The sequence below is a fragment of the Homo sapiens genome, chromosome 10, assembly GCF_000001405.40.
Source record: "Homo sapiens chromosome 10, GRCh38.p14 Primary Assembly".
Classification (NCBI taxonomy): Eukaryota; Metazoa; Chordata; class Mammalia; order Primates; family Hominidae; genus Homo; species Homo sapiens.
Window position 1 is genome coordinate 1,017,075 of NC_000010.11, and position 12,869 is coordinate 1,029,943.

At 44.4% G+C, this 12,869-nt stretch overlaps 2 protein-coding genes and 1 long non-coding RNA gene across 7 annotated transcripts in view; 2 read left to right on the plus strand and 1 right to left on the minus strand.

The window, feature by feature from the left end:
• GTPBP4 (GTP binding protein 4) overlaps positions 1-2,858 on the plus strand; it is a 31,499-nt gene extending 28,641 nt beyond the window's left edge. For both annotated transcript variants that reach the window (XM_047424932.1, NM_012341.3), the window contains exon 17: positions 1-2,858. In XM_047424932.1, the coding sequence (XP_047280888.1) occupies positions 1-153 (153 nt within the window). In that variant the 3' untranslated portion in view covers positions 154-2,858.
• On the minus strand, positions 1,836-8,785 carry IDI2 (isopentenyl-diphosphate delta isomerase 2). The gene is made up of 5 exons (NM_033261.3): positions 8,742-8,785; positions 7,508-7,670; positions 5,609-5,701; positions 3,693-3,823; positions 1,836-2,760 (listed from the first exon to the last, which is right to left on the minus strand). Exons 2-5 carry the CDS (start codon positions 7,647-7,649, stop codon positions 2,443-2,445), a joined length of 684 nt encoding a protein of 227 aa, NP_150286.1. The 5' UTR covers positions 7,650-7,670; positions 8,742-8,785; the 3' UTR covers positions 1,836-2,442.
• The window catches only part of IDI2-AS1 (IDI2 antisense RNA 1), a 21,565-nt gene continuing 14,258 nt past the window's right edge, over positions 5,563-12,869 (plus strand). For all 4 annotated transcript variants that reach the window (NR_027709.1, NR_027708.1, NR_024628.1 and 1 more), the window contains exon 1: positions 5,563-5,709. This is a non-coding gene — a long non-coding RNA (IDI2 antisense RNA 1). The remainder of the gene's footprint in view (positions 5,710-12,869) is intronic.

The following is a 12,869-nucleotide window of genomic DNA, read 5'->3' on the forward strand; positions in this document are numbered from 1 at the left end:
ATGGTGAAGAAAGCCAAGACTATGATGAAGAATGCTCAGAAGAAGATGAATCGGTTGGGGAAGAAAGGGGAGGCGGATAGACACGTGTTTGATATGAAGCCCAAGCACTTGCTGTCTGGGAAGAGGAAAGCTGGTAAAAAGGACAGGAGATAGTATCCGTTTGGTTGGCGTGGCTTCGCTAGAGTGTTGCTGTTTATTTCCTGGTTTGGCACAGTATGGTTTCATGAAATTGGAGCTCTGTATAAACTGAAAAAGACAAAATAAGTAAAGCACTTGTTGCTTTGCTGAAAACTATGGTTAACCCTATATAGGTGTGGGAAATTTTTGTCACTGCATAATATTACAAATATTTTGAGTAGACAGTGTTTCCACATTTAATGGAGTATCAGTTGCTTCAGATTTTCAGAACTGGGAAGATTTACTGGTTTAACTAGGTTGTTTTTGATGGAGAAAAACCTTATTTTCTTTTGTAAGAGCTGGGAGCAAACACGTTTATGAGTGTGTCGGAATCCCGTGCTTAAAATACGCTCTTAAATTATTTTCTAGTCTTATTTTACAATGTCTCATTGTAGTCTGTCTTCAACTATTTTATCCAAAATAAACCTCCAGAAGAAAGTAGTTTTCATTTACTTAGCTCATGTTTTGGTTTAGTTATAGTCGCTATGGATTTGGCCAAATAAAAAGGCAAACAACATGACATTTCTATTTTGTTTTAAAGCAAAAATACTTTTGGGGGAGTAAAATGTTGCTGGAGGCATTAGGCAATTAAATATGGGCATTCTCCTATTTCTGTGGCCCGTCCCTGAAGTTACATGTTCAGTAAAACACAAAAACACCGCCAATGCCACCTCAAAAGCACCTGCTGGGGAGCGTTGGGGTGAAGAGCTGTGGGGTCGGAGGGACCTGCCCAGGGGTCCGTGTGCTCCTGGAGCTCCAAAGACACACAGGGGTCCAAGAGCCACCACGGATAAGTTATCAAGTCACACAATCAACATTATAGCTGAGGAAAGGACTTTAGTTAATCACACTTCTGGATTACATGTGGCAATTTTAAAAATTTACCAGGGCTGGGCTGGGCGCAGGGGCTCAAGCCTGTAGTTCCAGCACTTTGGGAGGCCGAGGTGGGCAGATCAGGAGGTCAGGAGTTCGAGACCAGCCTGGCCAACATGGTGAAACCCCATCTCTACTAAAAATACAAAAATTAGCCATGCGTGGTGGTGGGCATCTGTAATCCTAGCTGCTCGGGAGGCTAAGGCAGGAGAATTGCTTGAGCCCAGAGGCGGAGGTTGCAGTGAGCCGAGATCGTGCCACTGCACTCCAGCCTGGGTGACAGAGAGAGACTCCGTGTGAAAAAAAAAAAAAAAATACCAGGTCTGGTTTTTGAAATTCTTTCTCCGTATTAAACACCAAAACTTAACATATAGTTTACTTTGTGTTAAACAACAACAGTATGGCCGGGCGCGGCAGCTCATGCCTGTAATCCCAGCACTTTGGGAGGCCGAGGCAGGCGGATCACGAGGTCAGGAGATCGAGACCATCCTGGCTAACACGGTGAAACCCCGTCTCTACTAAAAATACAAAAAATTAGCTGGGTGTGGTGGCGGGCGCCTGTAGTCCCAACTACTTGGGAGGCTGAGGCAGGAGAATGGCTTGAACCCGGGAGGCGGAGCTTGCAGTGAGCCAAGATCGCACCACTGCACTCCAGCCTGGTCGACAGCGAGACTCCATCTCAAAAAAAAAAAAAAAATACCAGGTCTGGTTTTTGAAATTCTTTCTCCGTATTAAACACCAAAACTTAACATATAGTTTACTTTGTGTTAAACAACAACAGTATGTTTTAAAGCAAGTATGTCTTTATTTGTAAGCATATTACTGAAACGATCAAATGAACAGAAGTGGATAAACGTCGAGTCACTTGGCTGAGACCATACGCATCTTCCGTACTGCTTGTATTAGGATGCAAGATTGAATGTGTCTTTTTTTTAAAAATGCAGCCTTGTGTTGCACTCTGAAATAAGTGATTTAAAAAGAAAAACATGATACAGAGATCCCATCCTGACCTTGGAGGCTTGGATAAAGCTGTGGGGAGACAGCCTCATGGTCCAGCCAGGCTAGTCCGCCTGCTTCAGGACTCTCAAGATCTCCCCAAGACTTTCAGGATCAGCTGCTGTTAATCAAACAAGTGCTTATAAAATGGAAATTGGGACAAAGGAAATGTTAAATTTCCTCCCTGCAACCAGGCAGATGAGAAATATGGAAATAAGGAAAAGGGAAAATGAAGATATGACAAAGTTGATGAAAAGGTTGAAATAGTGATTTATACATGATGGGCAATCAAGTGCCCCTTTTGCCCTGTTTTTTGGAGAGGGTGTATCATTGCCTCAATGGTGCGTCTGCCTGCACTGAGGGCATTACACATGGCTGACTCGACCTCCCTGCCTCTCACACTCTGTGTATTTTGTGAAGCTCCACAAACGGGGTCACGTCATCCAGGTGAGGCCACCACCGGTACAGAAACCTCTCGGCAATGGTTCTTAGCCAGGGGGTGACTTTGACTTCACCCCTCGCCTCCCTCTCCAGCAGCTCCCACAGCTCCTCCTGGGACAGGTAGAGGATGCTTTTCGTTTCACTGGGATCCGGGTTCAGAGTGACGTTTTTCCTCACAAGCAGAAGGTAACAAATTTCATGCTCTCCCCAAATTCTGTCTGATTTTGCCTTGTGGTGATAGATTGTCATGAACACAATGTCCTCTGGAGAAATCTATTGACAGAAATTGGTGCAGTGTTAACAACGCTAATGTAAAACACAGAATTTACAGAAAAATAGAGAAAATAAACACATTTGTTTTCCTCAGAAAATGAACACTTTCTTTGGTAATTGATAATTTCCAAAACCTCGATTTTAGCTAAGTAAATTTTTGTGGACTCAAGTCTGAATGATAAACCGGCTTTGGTTTCTTGGTTCCAGTAAACCTGTCTGTCTTCATTTAAAGAACTAACCGTGTCACACACACATCCTCAACAGAAAACCCCGTAGAAACCGGCTAGCGTTGTCAGGAGAACATCCATCCTCTCTTAAACGTGTTCTTGAGTGGATGAAGGTAACACATGCTCACAGGATCCTGGACATTCTTTCTACACTTGAATTTCTTTCTTTTTTTTTTTTTTGAGATGGAGTCTCGCTCTGTCGCCAGGCTGGAGTGCAGTGGCACAATCCCGGCTCACTGCAACCTCTGACTCCCAAGTAGCTGGGATTACAGGCGTGTGCCACTACGCCCAGCTAATTTTTGTACTTTTAATAGAGACGGGGTTTCACCATGTTGGCCAGGATGGTCTTGATTTCTTGACCTTGTGATCCGCCCGCCTCGGCCTCCCAAAGTGATGGGATTACAGGCGTGAGCCACCACGCCCGGCTTGAATTTCCTCTTCGGTGTGTGGTCGACAGATTCCTGCACAGTCTCAACCCTGCCTGGGACACATAGGGACTCACACTGCCCCATCCACAGCTACATTCACAGCCCCATTCACAGCCCCATTCACAGCTCATTCACAGCCCCATCCACAGCCCCATCCTTCATCCTCATGGTGCTTCATGAGGTCAATGGTGTAGATCCAGCCTGGACTTTGTTCACCGTCTGCCCGCTGCCAACCTGGACTCCCGTGGACACAGCTGAGACTGGATGCTGTGTGTACCTGCTCCCCAGGAATTCCCAGCTCTGCTTGCAGACGCCTCTGGGCTGCCCTCCTCACTCCGATGGCATCCTTTTCTTCCAGTTCTGCTGGGTTGTATAATGGGTGGCTACTACAGGAGTCGGTAAAATACCCTGGAAAAAATGCATGTGGGAACATCCCTCTTTATTCCTGAAAAGTGAATATATTAAATACAAATGCAGATGCTTCATGTAAAACCATCATCCGTCATCAGCAGAAGACAGCCTGGCGGGGGGAGTGGGTTTGTCATGGGCTCTCAGAGCAGCACTCGCCTCCAGCCTCCACGGCTGTGGGCTTGGTGAGGGTCTTCCACATGACCACCTGGCGGGGCTGGCCCTGACCGCTCCTGCGGCCCTTCCTGCAGATGTGCACACACATGTCCCGTGGCACTATCCCAGTATGTCTTAGGAGAGGGACTGGTTCCTACTCAGTTTTGTACCCACAGAGGACCTGAGATGCCATGGGGTGGCGGGAGGAGGTGGTGGGGCTGTGGGCTGGGTGGCTGCACCAGCTGGGCTGAGGAAGCTGGGCTGCACTTTGAGGGTGGTGATCAGTGAGCATGGTTTCACAGGAAGACTGCTGGAATACCTTTGACCAAGTTTCCTTACTGAGAGGTTCTACTTAATTTACCCAAGTAACAGCAATAGCGCTATGACGGGAGGTCACACTCTCCTCAGTAAATCTCTGTTCCCTCTCGTTCCTCAGACCCTCAGTGCTTCCTTCGGTCACTCTGCAAGGAGTTTGGCTGAAGTTGAATCCACTCTTGCAAGTACAAGAGCTGGTACTCCCACCTGCCCCTATGTATCCTGGAGGCGGCTAACACATGATAGGAAATCTTAGCTCCAGGGGCTTTATTTGCAAACTGTTGACTATGTACTACAGTTGACCCTCTTAACTTTGCAGCTCCTGAATTTTTCTGAAACAAACTTTGCATTCAGCTCCATCAAGGAGCCCGTGAGTACAACTTGACCAGCAAGTATGGTGGTGGGTTTGGGAATGGGCAGGATGTACCCACTGCGGCTCCGAGGAAGAACTAAGGGAGGAGAAAACCTCGGCCACAGCTGGCCGTGCTTAGCCATTCGCTTTAATGGCTCAGGCAAGGTCTGGTTTTGAAAATTTGAGGACAGCCTAGGCCAAAACACTTTAAATGACCACAATTGACGTAAATGCTGTTCCCCTCTAAAAAATTTTTTGGCCGGGCCCGGTGGCTCACGCCTATAATCCCAGCACTTTGGAAGGCCAAGACAGGCATATCACGAGGTCAGGAGATCGAGACCATCCTGGCTAACACGGTGAAACCCCGTCTCTACTAAAAATACAAAACGTTACCCGGGTGTGGTGGCGGGCGCCTGTAGTCCCAGCTACTTGGGAGGCTGAGGCAGGACAATGGCGTGAACCCAGGAGGCGGGGCTTGCAGTGAGCCGAGATGGCGCCACTGCACTCCAGCCTGGGTGACTGAGCCAGACTCCATCTCCAAAAAAAAAAAAAAATTTTAAGTTGTAATTTTAAGAAGTACAAGATAATTAAAACTCTAAGACCTGTAAGATAATTTTTATTATTATTACCTAGTTAATTTTATGCTAAATGCTATTTTAATCCCCTAAATCCTTAGGTTGATAAATTCCTCTGCATTTAAGTAACTTGCCGTTGCAAAGAAACAACAAAACAAAAAAACCCAGAAACTCATATAGTTTCTTACTTTTTTAAAAAAGAAAACCCAGCCTACTGAAGAGCTATCAGCATAATTAGCATCTGCCTAAGCTGCCGATTTTCTGCAGGATGAGCTGCCAGCTCACCACAGTGCGGCACTGAGCACCAGAGAGTTCCTGTCCCAGATTCCTCCGGTCAAGTCACATGAGATGCTCTCTTCAGTCCGGGGCTTGGTTGAACGGACTCACCAGGAAACGTGACTTTCGTGTCCGACCTCTGCTGTATCAGGATTCGATTCTTGGTGTTAAACAAGACAACGCTGAAGGCTCGGTGCAGCAGCCCTGCAAAGGTAAGTGCCATTTGTGTGAGTGCATGCCTGGAGTCTGTACGATTGTCCTTCGTGCTTTTTGTCCTCAGTCTGTTTCTCGTAGAAAAGCCTGTGATTGTGGCACCTGGGCAGGGCAAAGGGGACTGCTGGATGCCCAAACACAACGTTTCAGAATCTCAGCGGATTAGAACACTCGGGAAACTAAAAATAGATCTACCAGATGACCCAGAAATCCCACTACCAGGGCAAATATCCAAAATAAAAGAGATCAGTCTATCAGAGAGATATCGCAGCATTCCTGGGTGCTGAGCACCATTTACGACAGCCAAGATATGAGATCAACCTGTGTCCGTGGAGGTTTGAAGGGTTGAAAACATGAGGGTTAGATACACAGTGGCATACCATTCCACCACAAAAGAAGAATGAAATCGGGCCGGGTGCGGTGGCTCACGCCTGTAATCTCAGCACTTTGGGAGGCTGAAGTGGGCGGATCACGAGGTCAGAAGATCGAGACCACCCTGGCTAACATGGTGAAACCCCGTCTCTACTAAAAATACAAAAAAATTAGCTGGGCGTGGTGGCAGGTGCCTGTAGTCCAAGCTACTCGGGAGGCTGAGGCAGGAGAATGGCATGAACCCAGGAGGCAGAGCTGGCAGTGACCTGAGATTGCACCACTGCACTCCAGCCTGGGCAATGGAGCAAGACTCTGTCTCAAAAAAAAAAAAAAAAAGAAGAATGAAATCCTGTCATTTGTAGCAACATGGATGGAACTGGAGGCCATTGTGTTAAGTGGAACAAACCTGGCACAGAAAAACAAGTATCACATGTTCTCACTGCTATGTGGGCTCTAAAGAAGTTGATCTCATGGAGGCAGAAAACACAATGCTAGACACCAGAGGCTGCGAAGGGCAGTGGGGAGGGATGACGAGAGGGTGGTTAATAAGTATAAACATACCGCGATAGAGAAGGAATAATATCAGCTGTTCAATAGCACAGTAGGGTGACTGTAGTTAACAACAGTGTATTATATGTTTCAATGTGGCTAGAACAGAGGATTTGGAATGTTCCCAACACAAAGATATGATGAATGTTTGAGGTGATGGATATCCCAAAATGCCCTATTTGATCATTATGCATGACATGGTGGTATCAAACTATCACATGTACCCCATTAATATGCATAATTATTATGTGTTTATAAAAAAGACACAAAAATGAAAATTAAAAAATAATAAAATGGCTTAAGATGGTCAAAGAAAACCAGAGCTGGACAGGAGTTAAAGCAGGAAAGTCTGACTTTACTGAGAACCATTTCAATAGGGGAAAGAGACCTCCATGGAGAACCAGCCTAACTGCACACAACACCCAAGGAGCAGGCTGGGGCCTATGGATTAAAAGTTACTAAGAGAAAACATCAGTGGGAAGGGGGTTCTGGCTACACCGACCTAACAAGACCTGCTGAAGACAGGCCTGCGTGATCAGACGTCACCTGGGAGGGACGGGGTTGAGGAATTTAATCAGATGCCAAGGTCAGGGTTCTCGCTAAAACAACCTGGTAGAATTCTTGCTGAAACAGGATCTTACGAGGAAGAGCACGGATGCCTAGGAGAAGGTGCAGGAGCCTGACAAGGGCTTGACCAAGCAAAGACGTCATCCAGGTGCTGCTCCCCGAGCCTTCTAAAGACGGCACAGCAAGCACACAGGTGACCCAGTGGTCGCCTCCTAGCCGGAAAGGCCTAGACTCTCTTCTTAGGTTGCCGTCGGGTGGGAAAAATGGGAAAACCCTGGGAACTGGACAGAGAAAATGGGCGGGGGCTACCTTTCTCAATGTTTTCGTTCAGATGGCAATTCCTCTTGGTGTCGGCACCAATAACCTTATCATTCTCATCCACAACAATCAGCATTTCCTCCAAGCGCTGCAACTGACGCCTGTCAACCCAGTCAAGATTTATGTCAGACATAGCTGCTGGCTGTGACCCGACCTGAAATAGATGCACACAAATGCCTCTTTATGTGAAAGATATTGCCATCTCGTTTTTGCTATGTGTTACCAACCACATTAGGATTTAGCATACACCTTCTCTACAAGTGACAGCAATTGTGTTGAAGCAGCACAGTTCTGAGATATGGAAGGTGAATCATCTGTTTCTAATGTGGTGTCTCTCTGAACGGGAAATCTTGGGTACATACATACTCCTCATGTTTTCCAGGTTTCCTTTAGTGACGAGTTAAAGAATCCCCGCCCCACCACACACACACACACACACACACACACACACACACACACACAAAACACACCGAGGTAAACTGTAGGTAACACTCTTTGTACAAGTTTTTGGGGAAAAGTGCAGCCCTGTGCAAAACCACTGGACCTGGATCAGACGTGGAGAAACACACAGCCTTGTAGGAAAGCTACGTCACCCACAGAAGGGCTATGGTCCTCTTCAGAGCCAAGCAGATTCTTAGGTGAAGATCTTCTCACAAAATGTTTTCAGGGCCAGGAGCGGTGGCTCACGTCTGTAATCCCAGTACTTTGGGAGGCCGAGGTGGGAGGATCACTTGAGGTCAAGAGTTTGAGACCAGCCTGGCCAACATGGTGGAACCCTCTCTCTACTAAAAAATACAAAAATTAGCCAGGCCTGGTGGCACATGCCTGTATTCCCAGCTACTCAGGAGGCTGAGGCAGGAGAATCACTTGAACCTGGGAAGCAGAGGTTGCAGTGAGCCGAGATCGTGCCATTGCTCTCCAGCCTGGGCAGACAGAGTGAGACTCTGTCTCAAAAAAAAAAAAAAAAAATGTTTTCAGGGTCATTTATCTTCATGTAAAACCTTCTCATCATCCTTTTCTACTTTTTAAAAAAATGCATTCACGTCTGTCCATTATCATTACTGTTAATATTTTCAGCAATCTGCTCCTCCTCTTTGCAAAAGGCTGTTTGACTTAATGCATGGACATGAGATACAATAGAAATGCAGAGAAAACAATTACTGAATATGTACAAATTTAGATCATAAAAGAAAGAATTCCCACAAGGTAAAACATATGCACTAACCTCTCTTGGAAGCTGGAGACTCCTGGGTATCAGATGTGGAACTCAATGTGCAAGTTGAACCAGGGCCCTTTTATACCCTGGGGATGTAGAAAGATATCAGCTAAGGCAATCTGATATTTTTGTATTCTTAACAAGAAAACACACCCCGGTCTCTCTCTATCTCTCCATCTCTTTCTCTCTATCTTTCTCCCTCTCAATTGAGGGATAATAGAAAATTGTTTTGACACAATCTCACTTTAAAAAATGCTTTTAGTTTTTAAACCTAGGGTAAGTTATTTTCTACTCTATGGCTTTCTTTTTTTTTTTTTTTTTAAGGTGATGTCTAGCTCTGTTGCCCAGGCCAGAGTGCAGTGGCGTGATCTCGGCTGACTGCAACCTCTGCCTCCCGGGTTCGGGCGATTCTCCTGCCTCAGCATCCCGAGTAGCTGAGATTACAGGCGCCCGCCATCACGCCCAGCTAATTTTTTTGTATTTTTAGTAGAGACGAGGTTTCACCATGTTGGCCAGGCTGGTCTCCATCTCCTGACCTCAGGTGATCCGCCCGCCTCGGCCTCCCAAAGTGCTGGGATTACAGGTGTGAGCCACGGCGCCGTTCGATGGCATCTTTTTAATTCACTTGCTGTATATATCATCCCAGATTTTAAAAAGAAAAAATAAAGGTGGCAAATGGAAGAGAAAAATAATAAACATTGTGACTAAAATTACTGAATAAATTCTTAGGATAGCTGAAAATCGATAAATAAATGCAAGACCTTGGAAACCAATGTGTTTGGAAGAGCTAAAAAACTGTATAATTTCTTGCCTATCATATTCCAAATATCATCTACCAACTAAAGCTCTAGGCCAAATAGTTTTGCAAGTAGGGTCTCTTAAAATATCAAAAAAATGTTTGCCATATCTGTCGGTTCTCTCAGGGAATATGAGGAGAGAAGCACGATGGACGCATGACTCCGCTGACTTTGGCACGGATAATACAGAACAAAAATAACACAGCAGCAGTGATGGGTAATATTCTATAAAAAGATTAATGTGTTTTGCTCTTTTGTCTTTCCATAAGTTCACCTTTATGCATGTAATTTTTAGTTACGTAGAAAATCAAAAGGCTATGCCTGAAATGTTTTCCCTGGAAATCAGTTCTGAGACTCAGGAATAAATGGTCTGTTTGAAACTTGTTTCTTTTGCAGTCAGAAGAGTAAGAATGGGAGAATGATACTCTTTTAAAGATCTAAAAAATAATAAATAAGTCTATGAATTAGGCTTTGAGGAAGAAACTAATATACAATACCGTACCTATTATAATCCAACAACTCTAATAGTAATAATAATAATAGTAAGACAGCCAGACACACATTGTGTCCTTCCTTTGTGCCAGTTTCTATTTTAAGAGTTTAATGTATATTAATTCATTTGGTCCTCACGACAGCTTTCTGAGATAAGCGTTATTTTTTATTATCACAGCATCGATAAGGAACTGAAGCACAGAGAGGTAAATTACCTGCCCAAGGCAATGTGGCTGCAGATGCAGCTGAGCCCCCAGAATCTGTGCAGTTTAACATGTTGGGATCGTCACCACCAAACTAAGCACTGAAAGCTTTAGAGGCAAATGTTATCAAAATTTCAAGGAAGGAATTGTCATTCTCTGTAAAATGTTCTAGGGGATAAAAAAGGAGGGAAACCCTTTGCTAGGTTGATCTGGGTACAAGGTTCTGACACATAAAGCACACAAAAAACATTATAAAGGAAAGGAAGGAAGACATTTTGATTAGGCTATATGCGGAGAATTTTCTTAAGAGAGGTTATGACAACTTTAAGAATGACAGTTGATGACCTATAATGCTGCAGGTAGGAGGTTAAGAATAAACTCTAGGAATAGATGATTACATCTGATTAAGGCAAATTAGAAGCAACAGAAAGGGCTCTAGATATCAGTGAAATATAGAGAAGGACATGGAGGCCAAGACTGGGAAAAGCAGGTAAAAAGAAATGGAAGTGGAAAGAGTTAAAAAGGAGTAGGCCAAGTATTGTAGGTATGAAAGAGAGGGTAAAACAAATACAGCATGTGCTAAAAGGGGTATCCTTGAACAAGAGAGCCATAATAATAAAGAAAAATATCCCAGACACACAAGATGACTTAAACCCACAGATGGAAAGGGCTTGCCATGTTCCAGAAATACTGACACATTATCGTCGACACTGGGGTAAACTTCTCAGATCTCTGAGAAAACTGCTGCATGCAGAAGAGAACAGCCACTCCCAACACCATCACTCCATCTCCTAGGCATTGTACAACCCTAATCCTCTGCTTTCCACCTAGAATGATGGGTGATCCATGTACTTACCAAAAGTCACTTCTTGGGTCAGGTGTGGTGGCTCATGCCTGTAATCCCAGCACTTTGGGAGGCTGAGGCGGGTGGATCACCTGAGGTCAGGAGTTTGAGATGAGCCTGGTCAACATGGTGAAACCCCATCTTTACTAAAAATAGAAAAAAGGGCCGGGTGCGGTGGCTTATGCCTGTAGTCCCAGCACTTTGGGAGGCCAAGGCAGGTGGATCACGAGGTGAGGAGATCGAGACCATCCTGGCTAACACGGTGAAACCCCGTCTCTACTAAAAATACAAAAAAATTAGCCGGGTGTGGTGGTGGGCGCCTGTAGTCCCAGCTACTCAGGAGGCTGAAGCAGGAGAATGGTGTGAACTCGGGAGGCCGAGCTTGCCGTGAGCAGAGATCGCTCCATTGCACTCCAGCCTGGGCAACAGAGCGAGACTCTGTCTCAAAAACAAACAAAAAACAAAAAATAACTTCTTCTGCAGCAGATTCACCCACAGTCACCTACTCAAAGACATCGTCCAGCAATTTTCCCTTTTTCTTCTCTATCATCACGTTTTCTCTCTCTCTGTTGGAATTCTCCTATCAGTCTGCAAGCATGTGACTATGATTTCATTTAAGTAACAGCTAGTTTTTTAGACCTCATTTGCCCAGCAAGCTACTCCTTTGCAGGAACACTCTTAGAAAACTTCCTTCATGCTCACTATATCCAGTTCCTTTCTCTAATATTTCTCGTTCCTTTTCTCACGTTTAAAACTATCAAGTAACTTAACCTAAATTGTTAAGTACAATTGTTGAGCTGTTCAAATTTTCAACTCCTGTCAACAAAATTCCAAAGAACAAGCTTCTAAGATAAGCACTTCCTGATATTTGATAACATAGGTTAAAATTTCTGTAAATATCTTAAGAGATTATACTCAAATCCATATGTTGGAAAACGGTGATGAATAAAATTTTGGCAGTGAGGAAAATAAAAATAACTTTCCATAATAGGGTTATTTTTATCTATATAAATCAAGAAAGAATTAACACTTTAGCAATGATCAGAAAAGATGAGGCCCTTGGTATTACTGGGAAAATTTGGAAGAGATAATTAATTTGGGAGAGCTTCTAGAACAAGTACTCAGAAGTGTTCAATAATAAGTAAAATGACACATATGTAATTGATGTCTTAAGGCTGATGACAGCAGCCCTCCTAAATGAATCTGCAGTTTGCTACTAAATCCATACAATTCGCCTCCTCTAATATATACGTATTTTGAGACGGAGTCTCCCTCTGTCTCCAGGCTGGAGTGCAATGGCATGATCTCGGCTCACTGCAACATCCGCCTCCTGGGTTCAAGCAATTCTCCTGCCTCAGCCTCTCGAGTAGCTGGGACTACAGGTGCACGCTGCCACCCCTGGTTAATTTTTTTTTTGTATTTTAGTAGAGATGGGGTTTCACCACTTTGCCCAGGCTGGTCTCAAACTCCTGAGCTCAGGCAATCCGCCTGCCTTGGCCTCCCAAAATGTTAGGATTACAGGCGTGAGCCACTGCGCCTGGACCTCCTCCAATATTTGGCCAAGCCACGCAATCTTTAAGCTCCCATGTCTGTCCATGATTGTAGGTTTATAATTTGGAACTTCGGTTATTTAATTAATTAAAAATATTCAGATATATCCTGCAAATAAATACAAAGTTTTTGTACTCAGCATCTTTAGTGCACTTTCCCACAAGGAGTTGTATGTAAATGAAAAAAATAGATAAATGCAAGCATGTAAATCAACTCCTATTATTAACCATTTACTTAGCTCAAGTTTATT

Excerpts from the sequence above, each read along its gene's own strand:
- IDI2 (NM_033261.3), bottom strand. The coding sequence starts at position 7,649 with ATGTCTGACATAAATCTTGACTGGGTTGACAGGCGTCAGTTGCAGCGC. Across the intron at positions 5,702-7,507 it reads GAACGAAAACATTGAGAAAG|GGCTGCTGCACCGAGCCTTC; the intron begins GTAGCCCCCGCC and ends TTACCTTTGCAG. Across the intron at positions 2,761-3,692 it reads TGGGAATTCCTGGGGAGCAG|ATTTCTCCAGAGGACATTGT; the intron begins GTACACACAGCA and ends TTCTGTCAATAG.